This window comes from Homo sapiens, chromosome 3 (assembly GCF_000001405.40).
Source record: "Homo sapiens chromosome 3, GRCh38.p14 Primary Assembly".
NCBI classification, from domain to species: domain Eukaryota; kingdom Metazoa; phylum Chordata; class Mammalia; order Primates; family Hominidae; genus Homo; species Homo sapiens.
This window is the reverse complement of record NC_000003.12, coordinates 123,489,729-123,502,923: the sequence shown is the minus strand read 5'-3', so window position 1 is coordinate 123,502,923 and position 13,195 is coordinate 123,489,729. Positions and strand designations below refer to the sequence as shown.

The following is a 13,195-nucleotide window of genomic DNA, read 5'->3' as shown; positions in this document are numbered from 1 at the left end:
CCACCCTGCTGCTCTCACTCCTGGTGACTGAGGCCCTTTGCACTTGGCCCTCATCTCTGGGATGTACACAGCTGTCATCCTAGGCCCCAGCTCTACACGCAAGCTCTTTCTGCCATACAGGGGTCCTGAAGATAGAGACCAGCGGCTGTGCCGACTCACTCCCTGGCTCTGCCGGGTGCTGCACACTGTCTTCATTAACGTTGTCTGTGTGTTTTTTTTCTTTTGTTTTCCTCTTCCTTCAGGTACAGAGTGAAGACAGTGTCCTCCTGTTTGTTATTGCATGGACGATCACGGAAATCATCCGTTACTCCTTTTATACATTCAGTCTATTAAACCATCTGCCTTACCTCATCAAATGGGCCAGGTAAAAAAGCACATTTCAAAAGGCTCACTTTTGAAATGATCTGTCATTGAATTTGCCCTTTATTGCCTAAATATTGCCTCAAAGTTTCTAAAAATAAAATTGAGACGGGTTGGGTAGAAATTTTGTCTGTAGATTTCATCAGAATAGGAGTCTGTACTTAACTTTGACTAACGGAAATACTGTTTTAAGGTTTTTATATTTTACTTAAATTATTTTAATTGGGATCAGTTCTTTTCAATTAAATTATGCAGTATTTTCTTTTTTAAAAAATTTCATCACCAAGTAGCAATCAATAGAGATTTGCCGTAACATCCCTTTTTTGTCCATATCATCACATTTTACTGATGAGCTTCTGCCATTGTGATGGGTTTTTTTGGACCAAGTCCTATTCTCCTAGTCTCAATTTTGCCAAGAAGTTGTGACTCTTAAATTAATTTTTAGGTAATGACAAACATTACATGTCAGTTTTAGCTTATCACTTTTGTTTTGCTTTGATTGTTTTTACAAGTAATGATGACTTTGGTAAAAGGCTAGTAGTTCATCTGCTTACCTTAATGAGTCCATGAGACAGTTGTAGGCAGTTTTCTGAGCTGGGAAGGACTTTGAGGGAGAGTGACAAAGCAGAAGGATCCAAGTCCCTGGAGCCGAAATGCCTTATTTGGTGGAAGGAAAGCAGTGGTTCCTAGAGTGTTTATGAGTTCAGTAATTAAATTAGGGACATAATCCGATTGTTTCCAACATTTTGAGTATGGGAACTCCTTTGTTATTTTATTATTTTTCTCATTTGCAATGAACATTTTTATTAGGAAAGGGGAAGAATGGGAAACATAGCAGTTACTAACCAACCTGGACAGCCACTGTGGAAGCTTTTTACCCTGGTTGTTAGGGAAGTCTGTTGACCAAGGCCTGATTTTACTGTTGGAGAAAGATTCTTTCATCCACTGTTCTCCATGGCCTCTGAAAGATTTTTTTCCACCATCCTACTTAGTGTGGCTAAAATTGGCAGTGGGGAATATGTCTTCCCTTCCACTTCAGAGATTTTCATCACAATTCCTGTGCCCAGAAGTTTGTAGTCCGTTGCACATTGTGAGCCACAAACAGCCAAAGGCTGTTTAAAGTCTGAGCTGATGATTCCTTTAGCAATACTTATAGTGGCTTACAGTTCCATGGGACAGTGACTGCTCTCTGAATTCTTTGTGGAATATGGAGAACTCCTTTTTAAAGAGAAAACAATTATGCAGATTCCCCTCCCATGTGACGATAATTGTAATTGTGGGGTGTTTTGATTGGAAAATTACATAGTAACCAAAAGCTATTATGAATTTTAAATTTTTTTAATTGTATATATTTGATTTTTCACAATAGCATGTACAAACATTTGAAAAATAGTAGCAGTATACAGATGCTTATGCTATTTTTTTTGTTGTTCAGTCTTTGTGTGTGGTGTGGAATTCCTAGACCACATGTTCCAACACCTCCGCCACTACCACCCCAACCCCATCCCAAGACCCACAGGGCAGGACCCGTCAGTATAAACCATGACTCAGTTCCCCTACTTTACCAACATTTGGCATCACTTTAGTTATTTTAGAGCATAATTTTGAAGAGTTGTTTATTTTGTCAGACCAAATTTTGAGGCTGCCTGAACGGCCTTTATTTTGTCGTTAGAACATTTGGAAACATATACCTGCTGTAGGCTGGTTTCAGAAACTGGCTTGTAAAACCTGAATTTGAGTAGCAGGTAAACAGGAAAATGTATAAACAATCATTTTCTAAAAGACCAGTACTGATTAGAAGGGTGGGAAGTGCAGCTTCCTTCTAAAGCTGACTTTGAGCCTCAGTAATGAATATTTTGTTTTGTTTTAGGTACACACTTTTCATTGTGCTGTACCCAATGGGAGTGTCAGGAGAACTGCTCACAATATATGCAGCTCTGCCCTTTGTCAGACAAGCTGGCCTATATTCCATCAGTTTACCCAACAAATACAATTTCTCTTTTGACTACTATGCATTCCTGATTCTAATAATGATCTCCTACATTCCAAGTAAGTAAACAGTTATGCGTATATTTAATTATGTTTTAAAATTTGGCTCTACAATAACTAAATATCTTTGACTGTCTTTGCACTATATCCAAGTAAATGTAAATCTCATTTATTGGGAATTCTTGGTTTTTATTGAATGCTGACTATCAAAAGGAATTTTTTTCCAGTAGTAATTGAATAAAGATGAACCCTTCTCAATACAGTTGCCAAAATGCAGCCCTTCTCAGCATGTGGGTTTGAAACTGAATACCAGGCTAGGTTAAGTATGTATTGGGGAAAGTACTGAATGGAAAACAAAAAAGCCATTAAAGGCCTTACCTTGATTGTAGTTTTCTGTGTCTTAAGAACTGCTTGTTACAGTATTTGAAAAACATGATAAAAAGATTTTTGCATTGGTTACTATATCAAAATAGACATTTAACTTCATTTTGAAGGGATTGGTAGTTAACTAGAAACATAACAAAATAATAATAGATTTATTTTTTTCTAAATTTTTCATTTTCTTGTTGAGCACTGATTGGGACACAGTGTTCTCTTCAAGATGGTTTCCAATTATTTTAATAGTACTGCTGAAGATTTAAGTATATGGATAATCAAATGTGCCTATCAGTGTATTCAGTGACAGAGAAAAAGACATGTTTGATGTCTCTGTGAAGTGAGCCCTACTTTCTGAGGATGAGGAGTTTAGTCCTTTGCTGGAATTCTGATGTTCAATTATAAATCCTATGATTGATTTCTATATACCAAAAGATCTTCTTATAACCAACGACATACAGTGTTAGTGGTTCTTCTCATTTTGCTATTTCTATAACCACTGTAACTCTGAATCTTATTTTAATCTAGAAAAGATACTGTATTCTTCCCTAAACCCCAGGTTAAATCAGACAGGGTTGGACTTCTCCTCATTGCATGGCATCATCGGAATGAATCACCCTAACAAAGCGACATGCTTGTGTCCCTCTGTGGAAAATTGCATTTCATGCATTGTGAGAAAAAAACTACATCCAGATTTCATGTGAGTGTTTATCTTGCAGAAATTCTTGGATACAGTTCTGCTTCATGATTCATTTTCCACTCTTTATTCATGTTGAGTCCTCTCTAGTGCTGGAATCATAGCGACCAGAGGCCATCTCTCTTCAAATGTAAAAAGTGGTTGATTTTCAAACAGATGATAAATGTGAAATCATCTAAACTACTAAGTAATAAAAATTAACTGGTAGTTTATCACCTTTCTAATTTTGTTTTTTTTTTTTAGAGTTTCATTTTCCAGTCTCTAGAGCAGCAGTTCACAGTTGCAGTTTTACCACACCCGGAGTAACTAACACATATTATCCCAGTGGGCACCACAGGCTTTATTTGAATTCACCATAGTCAAATGAATAGGAGATATGTACCATATTGGGTGACTGGGAAAGGGGCAGGGAGGTTTTTATGAAATCAGATCCATAACAAGCTGCTTCCACACTGACAAAAATCTAGGCGTTCTTACCTGAGAGTTCCTGCAAGACTTCCAACCTCTCTAGGAAGCAGGGCTTCCTTCCAGGAACCACTCCCCAGGGCAGCCTCCATCTGTCTGCATGTTTGTCTCTTTATGCTCTGGTAGCCAACCAGTGCTGAGCTTTGCCTCTTCCTTCTGAGCTCTTGGTGTAGTGGCAGTGCCTGGGTACCACACGCAGCCTCCATGATGATAGCGTTCCTGAGGGAAACCCACTCCTGTGAGCTTTTCATCTTGGTCTTGAAAGAGATAGAGGAAAGAGAAAACACTGACCCCAGAGCCAGCTGTCTTTTAGAGCAGCAGTCCCCACAACCTTTTTGGCATCAGGGACCGGTTTCATGGAAGACAGCTTTTCCCTGGGCGGTGGAGGGGATGGTTTCAGGATGAAACTGTTCTACCTTAGATCATCAGGCATTAGATTCTCATAAGAAACATATAACCTAGATCCCTTGAATGTGCAGTTTACAACAGGGTTCACACTTCTATGAGAATCTAAAGCCACTGCTGGTCTGACAGGAGGCAGAGCTCAGGCAGTAATGCTCATTTGCCCACCACTCACCTCCTGCTGTGCAGCTCTGTTCCAACAGGTGGCGGTTGGGGACCCCTCTTTCAGAGAGTAGGGAAGGACTCTCCTCCCAACAGAAGTCTGCTTTCTTTACCTTAAGTAATTCCCCCTTGCAGTCTCAGCCTCCTTTTGGTAAGAGAACTTGGCTCAGTTAAAGTCTAACATAATTTCTTTTTCTAAGGCAGCTAACCTCTTGTAGACCGGAGAAAAGGGTGGATCTCAAATAATGATTAAAAGATTCCCTGCAAACCATTGACTCCTCACCCAGGTTCAAGATGGCACACAGACTACCTCTCCTGATGCGAGTCACCCTGGTGCCTGCTGGCCTCACTGTGCTGTGGCCTGAGCCAGCAGCTCTGGATGTTCTCAGTGGTTCAGGTTGTTACTGTTGAGGCCAGAGTGTACAGTTCATTCTGGCCAGCTGCACATTTCCAACTTTCCAAAGCTTTGTATTTATCAGAAGAAAATGCAGAATTAGGAGAGGTTGCTGTTGACATGCAGTCTCCTTTACCAAATTTGGTTTTCTTTCTAAACAAGGTAGCGTTCTTTTAATCTTTAGTGGCAAGTTGATGATACACATGTATTATATAAAGTAACACCTCCTTTTCATGGGCCTCATCTGTTGTTGCGTTGTTGCACACATAGCCTAAATTGTGGCTCATGAGGCTTGACCCCAGGAGTTTCCTCATATTGGGGTGCCCTGGCCAGGTGCTCCTCTCCTGTTCTGCTGTAGTTGCAATATATACAGGATTAGTACAACACAGTCCCTGCAGGACTCAGTAGATGTCTAAGGCCTGTTTACATTCCACCCCCAAATTGGTGAAAATTGGTTATGGTGGAGGGAGCCAAAAAAGGGCAAGATACATTGATGAGGGGTGAGGACCTGGAGAAGCTGGCGCTTTCCAGGTTGTCAGTGACTGTAACCACACCTCTGATTTTTAGAGAAACCAAGGAGACTTGGCCCAGGCAGAGAGCATATCTGGTGCTGTCGTCCTCCACAGTTCTCTCCCCAGAGGGGAAGAGAGCCCCAAGAGGGCTGGCCATCTTCTTAAAGAAAGGAGGGCCCAGCAGCACCCACACCCCCCTCGTCCCCAACACACAGGGACTGTCACACACACGTGCCCAGCAGTGTCCCCATTCTGTGTTCCCTGAATTGGGACAGCAGAAGGTGGAATTCTCAATAGCCTGTTGTCGGGTTGAGGGGTTTTTTCAGTGCTATTCCTCAGTGTAGCTCATGTTGTTAAAAGTGGCAGCCGTGCATCTGAAAAGCTTTCAGTCTCATGGTCGGGTTCAGTCTGAACATGTAGGTGATTCAGATGGAGACAGAATCATAGTTCTGGTCAGCCAGAAGCCACTGCCTGAACTGTGGAGAATAGGCCAGACACCCTAGGCCCTTGGCCTCCCATCCACATTCCTTTCTCTGGGTACTGAGGAATCTCTGGGAGATGTAAAGGAGTGAAAGTGCCATCATCTGACCCTTCTGATAGGTGGCAGGCCCTGCCCATGGAAATGAAGGTCTGCGTGGCCATCTTCTTCCTTGAACTGCCACCAAGGGCTTAATGCATGACTTCCAGGTCATTCTCCTTCCCCGGGCCCTCTGAACCAGCTGTGAGACTGCAGCCACCCACTATGGGGTTGTGTGAACACAAATGCAACCAGTGGGAAGGTCTTGTGCATGCCCAGCTCACAGATTCCCTTCATTACAGTAAATCTATAGAAATGGGACTGGCCCCACATTTTTAAATGATTACCATTAACATTCCTAATGGTTTAATTATATCTTTACTTCCAGTTTTTAGATTATAGAGCTTGTCAGATTTTCTGGCTTTCGTGCCAAAATAGTTCTCTGCCTGTCGAATTATATGCTTAAGTGGGGTCTTTTCTGTGAACGACGTCCTGCCTGGCAGTAGCAATGGCGTGGATGGCAGCCCTGTTCCACGTGCTGCCTCCTCTGCAGGTTAGCAGATCTTTGTCACACACGCACTGGTGTCCCGGCGTACTTTGGGAGGATCATTTGAAATCTGGCCAGCTTGGAACCCATTTAAAAAGGAAGAAACTTGTCAGGAGAGAGTTGGGAGTAGTAGAAATTATCTTCCAAAAAATATTCGTGACAGTATAAAAAAGAGAGACTGGGCTGGGCTTGGTAGCTCATGCCTATAGTCCTAGCACTTTGGGAGGCTGAGGCGGGCACACCCCTTGACCCCAGGGGTTCCAGACAAGCCTGGGCAACGTAGGAGATCTCATCTCTACAAAAAATTCAAATTAGTTGGGTGTGAAGTGGTGTGCACCTGTAGTCCCAGCTACTCAGGAGGCTGAGTGGGGAGGATTGACTGAGCCCAGGAGGTCCAGACCATGAGCCAAGATCACACCACTGCATACCAGCCTGGGTGACAAAGTAAGACTCTGTCTAAAAAAATAATAACAATAAAATAGAGATTGGAGCTGTTGGAGAGATGAGGAGAGGAAGGATATTGTACAACAAAGAGCATTTTACCTGGAGTTGTTTACACACAGTAACCTTGTGAAGGCCAGGTGGCTCAAAGTGGTATTTCCTAGCAGGGACACTATAGGCATTTTGGGTGGGATACTTCTTAGTAGTGGGTACTGTCATGCATTATGGCATGTTTTAGCATCCCTGGTCTCATATGCCAAATGCCAGTAACCTTTCCCTTTCTCCCTTATTTCCAAATAGTCAAACTATCGAAATAGTTCCAAATAGTTCCGAGGGAGGCAGTACTATCCCATTCATTTGAGAACCAGTGCTTTCTAAAGTATTCTACAAAATGACCAAGAACAGAAGAATCCCCAGTGCCTAAGACACTGGCTTGCTTTTCATAAGGCCTTTTTTTTTTTTTTTTAACATCCAAACCTGGCTTAGTTGTGTTCAAAGCAAATGTTGTGGCATTCCTCCTCCTCCTCAAGTCTTTACCCGAAACTACTTCCCAAGAGAGGTTGCTCTTCCCAAAGAATCACCTGCCCTGGGACCATATGGGGCTAGGCTGAGGGTCAGGAGCCAAGAGCCTGGTCCCAACTCTGTCTGTGGCTTACTGTGAGACCCTAGGCAAGTTGCTTACCCTCTCTGGGGCTCAAATTCTTCCTCTTTGAAATAGGAATAATAACTTCATCACTAGAATTCTTCACCTGGTTGTTGTGAAGTTAATCAGAATAAATGTGGAGATAATACATGAATGAGCGTACAGAATATTATTTGGCTGTTCTGTGGCATCGATATAGGTCATGATAGTGACAATAGTGTCTGTCATTGTATTCCACACCACTTCTTCCCTCAGCTAAAGCAGGAAAAGAAAGGAGGTAAGTCTCTCTGTGTTTTTTCTTCCTTTCCCCAAGCCCACTTTGTTACCTTCCTTGGTTGCTGGATGAGAAATTAGTCAGAGGGTCAGAGAGGACCTCAACTTCATATGCTTTAAATAGAGCATATGCAATTTTAAACCATCCTCTTAACCAATTTTTCTTTTCTTTTCAGTTTTTCCCCAGTTATACTTCCACATGATACACCAGAGAAGAAAGATCCTTTCTCATACTGAAGAACACAAGAAATTTGAATAGTTCCTGCTTTCTGCACCTCCCACCAAAACAAACTTTTCAATGATCAAAAAATGCTGCAGATTTTTTGAGTTCCCAATACGTTTCATAGAAAATAAGTAAGAACTATTTTTAAAATATTCAAACAAAACTAAAACAAAAATCCAGTGTCACATGGGCCTGAGATTTTATTTTAGAAAAAGGTTGTTACATAAAACACCCTGGCCAGTTCATTTCAGCATGCTCTTTCAACCAGAAGTTCTTAATATTTATGATGGCACTAGAAAGGGATTTGGCATTTTATGTCCTTCTGTGTCCTTCATGTATCTGATCAATGAAGACCTGTAACACTAAGTACTTGAGAGTTACAGTCTGAATAATGAAGTCGTACCAGCTGAATAGCCCAGCTTGCAGTATAGTTATGTTTCAGTCTGCAGTGTGTTTAGCATTCCCTTGTCAAAGTGCTTGACTGCATGCTGGAAACTTTGTATTTTTGAAGCGGCAAACTCTGTTCTCTGGAATGCTCTGAAGTTATGGCTGGGACCTATCCCCTCACATCTAATGAATGAATTATAAAATGTATATGTCTATGAAGCTTCGGGGTAGTGCCTGTAATCAGAAAACAACTTAGAACCCTTTTGTTTGTTTCCAATTGAGTCATTACTGCCTGCCACTAAGAAACGTGCTTGAATCTAATAAGTATGTGTGTACCGTAAAGAATATATCTTATCTGGAGCTCAGCCTCAATCATGTCTTAACAAAATGACAGGTCTCAGAAAGGGGGAGCTCAATAGCTCAAAAGTGACAAGTCCTTTTCACAGCACCATTCTCAGAACACCTCTGAGTAACGTGTTTGCCAGTAGCTATTCTCACTGATGCACTGATGGCCCTGAAGAAGCGGATCCAGTCACATAGGAAAGGAGGCTGTGTTAGTGAAAGCACATGGAAGGTGTTGCTTTAGAAAGGTAGTCAGGAAAAACATTCAGGAATAGATTTATACACCATTATTGTTTTATTTTTAAATTTTCATTCACTCTTCTGTTTGGATACTTTTGCTAATTAACTTCCTATGTTAATTTCCACCAAGCTATAAGTCCATAGTCAGTAAAACATTCCCCTTGGGCTGTCATGAGCTAAAAGCAGTGTCATCTCCGCATGTTGGAGCAGCCAAGAAATAGTTTGGTACTACCGACATTGTCTAATCCATGTCACATCCTCATACAATTTAATTGCTCAACCATGCATTTAAAACTCCTCAAGAAAGGATTGGTACTGCAACTGTAGGTAAACTGAAAAAAAATAAGAAAGAAAGAGTTGGATGAAAATGTGAAAGCCCAAGTTTAGATGTGCATTAAGTATTAAATAGCACAGTATCTTCTTCATGGAGCCTTTTTTCCTCCCCCATCCCCTGCAGCTGCCTTTTTTTGGGGGCAGGGTGGGGGTTGATGTTGAACTTTAAGAGTTTAAAAGTTTAGCTTATTGAGTAGTTGTCATTTAAAATATAATTGCGAATATCAGAAAACTCATACTGGAAAACTAAATTTTTTTTTTCTCTTGAGACGGAGTCTCGCTCTGTTGCCCAGGCTGGAGTGCAGTGGCGCGATCTCAGCTCACTGCAAGCTCCACCTCCCGGGTTCACGCCATCCTCCTGCCTCAGCCTCCTGAGTAGCTGGGACTACAGGTGCCTGCCACCACACCCAGCTAATTTTTTTTGTATTTTTAGTAGAGACGGGGTTTCACCGTGTTAGCCAGGATGGTCTTGATCTCCTGACCTCGTGATCCACCCGCCTCAGCCTCCCAAAGTGCTGGGATTGCAGGCATGAGCCACTGCACCCAACCCCTGGAAAACTAAATTTTTAAGTGCTTATTTTTATAGAAGTTTGAAAATTTAATGCAGGCAGGTGTGTAATAAATTATTTTTGAATTGAACATTAAAATTCTGCTTCTTAAAGTCAGCACTCAACTTGGACATGTTGAAATTAGAATCTATTCTTGTATTTGATAGACAAAATATGTGGGAAAGATTTTTTGCATGACTTTTCTCTCATTTTATTCTTCCATAATGTATTTCTACTATAAAATAGAATCAACTTGGGTTATATTTGTCATTTACTTTGTTCTGTTAGATTTTTTCAGTTGTTTTTGGAAAAATTCTAGAAATCAGGATGAAAAATGCAGCTTTTCCAGGGTTGCTGGACTGGGGGTTTTATTTGGGCCTCCTTATTATAATTTGTCACTACTTATAAAAAACATTCTGTTGCAAACAGTGGTGTTGCATTGAATTGAACTTTGGCAATGAGAACACAGCACACAGCTCCCTTTTCAAAAAGGGTCTCAACCCCAGTGTGTATTTTTGTACATCAACATTTAGAATACTTATGGCAGATAAGTAAGGCATGTCACTGTGTCCTTCAGTAACCTCTCTCAGTAACTGGTTTCTTTATCCCTAACATGAATTCATTTCTCCTTTGAAGTCATTTATTATTTTATAAATTGAGAACAACCACACCACCAAATGTCACACCTTCTTATAAAGTGTGAACAAGGAAGGTCATGTTTTTGTGGGTATTTTGTCAGACTTAGAGGTTTCATTTCAGGGCATAGTCAAAGGCATCATCCTCCCAACTACCCACTTGATTATGTATTTCAGATCCCTCCGTGGGGGCCTTCTTCTGACAGAGAATTCTTTGAGGTCCGCAGTAGTGCTTTTGTCAGCACAGACTGCTAATCTACATCTTGCTGCGTTCTGTTTGCTGAGGTTGGGCTTATTCATTTAACACATACCAACCATTATCCAGAGGCACCATGGAGAGTTAGTCATGGAATAAAGCACTGTCCTTGCAGATGAAAAAAGTCTCCAGAGCAGACTTCTGACAGGAAAGGTTTAGATGCTGGAGAGTTGAAGAGGTGTAAGAAGAGATCGTGCCCTCATTTTTCACTTATTTTTTTGGTTATTCATTTATAATAAAAGGTTGGCATTGATATGGTACAACCTGCAAATTACTTGCAGTTCTGAGTTTCAGATAAAACATTATAAAACATTAAATTCAATACATACTGCTCCTTTGAAATTTGGGTAAAAAATTGTACAACCGTATATATAGTCATTTTTGTATTTTTTCTATGTTGTGAAAACCAAAATTGTAATTTTATAAGTCTTTGATTCACTAAAATTATATAATTTAAATGTATTTTTTGTATATTTAGAAATAAGGAGTCCAGAGACTACGCTTAACTTTCTATGCATGCATTTGAAAGCTGTTTTTACCTGATAATGTAGTAATAAGTTGTATTCATAAAATACTGATCTGTGTTGCATTTCAAAATAAACTGGTGTGTGCTCTGCCTGGATTTGAAATACCTACCAGTGAGTGCAGTGATTTTTCATAGTCAGTAGGCCTGAATGTGGTGTTGCAGGAATATGGGAGAATTTCAGTTCAATTATGGACTCCAGCTCTTTGACAATTTTAAAATCTAATTCTGCTATTCATAATGGTTCTGCACTTACAGGAAAGACAGATTATATTAAGAGGTTTCCAAAAAGTCCTTCCCTGCCAGTCAGTCTTCAGGCTAAGCCAGTCTGCAAGCTGGCTGCAGAGGGACAAGGGGTTCCTCATGCAAGTGACCAGGGAATCTAAGATATTAATCAGCATGGGGTTGAGGAACCTTGTCTTATAACAAGCTGGGGTTTTGTTAGTGTAACTTTTCTTTTTTTGTTTTGAGACAGAGTTTCGCTGTTGTTGCCCAGGCTGGAGTGCAATGGCACGATCTCAGCTCACTGCAACCTTCACCTCCCGGATTCAAGCGATGTTTCTGCCTCAGCCTCCCAAGTAGCTGGGATTACAGGCACCCGCCACCACACCTGGCTAATTTTTTGTATTTTTAGTAGAGATGGGGTTTCACCATGTTGGCCAGGCTGGTCTCGAACTCCTAACCTCAGGTGATCCACCCGCCTTGGCCTCCCACCACGCCTGGGATTACAGGTGTGAGCCACCACGCCCAGCCTGTTAGTGTAACTTTTCTAACAGAAGTTCAGCGGGAGATCCTGTTGCCCAGCACTGTTCATCTTACATTAAAGCAAGATGTGGTGAAGTTCAAGTACCTCATTCTGAAAATGCCTCCAAACACAGGAATCCCAGGAGTGGCCCCCCCTTACTCAGGCTCGCAGTAAGAAGTGGTGGGAAGGACACTGCCTTGGGGTGTCCTCCGCTGGGTCACAGCTGATCTAGCTCTAGGCCTCTGGTGCTGGGTATGTTCTAGTCACTTTTCCCAGTGACGACTTGATCATGGTGCCTGTAGCAGTGATGTGCTCCCCACCTGAGTCTGCCAGCTCTTTCTCAGATCATCACCACGGCCTAAGAGTGTGGTCTTTGTTCCAAAGGAGAACACTTCCCTTCTAAATGCCATCTGATCGCAGCCTAGATGTTCCCAGCTCAGAGGTTAGACCACCTCTCCTCATGTAGAGCCTATTCAGCTTCAGAGGTTGGCTTTTTCATTTATGAAAAAAGTATTGCAGCTGAAACTGCGGAACAGATGGTAAAGTTAATAGTAGAGGCTACTCAGAAAACACAACCTTTACAATGTTAGCATGGTAATGGAGACAAGGGCTTTCCAATTTGTCATTGTCATATTTTGTGGCAATTATGTGTACTATGTTAATATAAGCCTTAGCCTGGAGGAATTACCATTGGTATAATTAAGAGACCTACTGTTACACAGCATTCCAAAAATACTGCTGTGTTTTTCTATTCCCTTTAACAAGAATGAGGACTAGCTTTTCAATTCCTTTTATTATTGAAAAGAAAAAAATCCCAGCCTCACAAATAGCCTGGCTCATTGTCATACAGTTTAATGGTGAAGAAACTGTTCTAAGCAACTATTACCAAAATTAGCCATACCTATTAACATTTCTCTGCCTATAACAGAACCAGAGTTAGAAGAGAGAGCAGTGTGGTTATTTGACCAATACTTCTTTTAATTTAAAGATATATTAGTGCTATGAGGGCAAGTCTCAATACCAAAAATAATCCTTCCCACAAAAGGCAATTCACCCTAAAACCTCATTTGGTGAGCAAAAATAAGAATGTGAAAGGCTGTGTATATAAGCACCTAGAGTGCCCATTTCATAAATATTTTTATGTTTGGAAGTCACGCTTTCTGCTCCCTAATTCCAGAGCATAGAC

The 13,195-nt window shown here is 41.2% G+C and overlaps 1 protein-coding gene across 8 annotated transcripts in view; it reads left to right on the top strand.

The window, feature by feature from the left end:
• Nucleotides 1–11,370, top strand: part of HACD2 (3-hydroxyacyl-CoA dehydratase 2) — a 93,500-nt gene extending 82,130 nt beyond the window's left edge. For 7 of the 8 annotated variants that reach the window (NM_001329786.2, NM_198402.5, NM_001329784.4 and 4 more), the window contains 3 exons: nucleotides 243–364; nucleotides 2,231–2,409; nucleotides 7,954–11,370. In NM_001329786.2, coding sequence (NP_001316715.1) covers nucleotides 243–364; nucleotides 2,231–2,409; nucleotides 7,954–8,036 — 384 coding nt within the window. In that variant the 3' untranslated portion in view covers nucleotides 8,037–11,370. Of the gene's footprint in view, nucleotides 1–242; nucleotides 365–2,230; nucleotides 2,410–3,283 lie in introns of all 8 variants that reach the window. The other variant, XM_047447663.1, reaches the window with a different exon arrangement.
• Nucleotides 11,371–13,195: the final 1,825 nt, after the last annotated feature.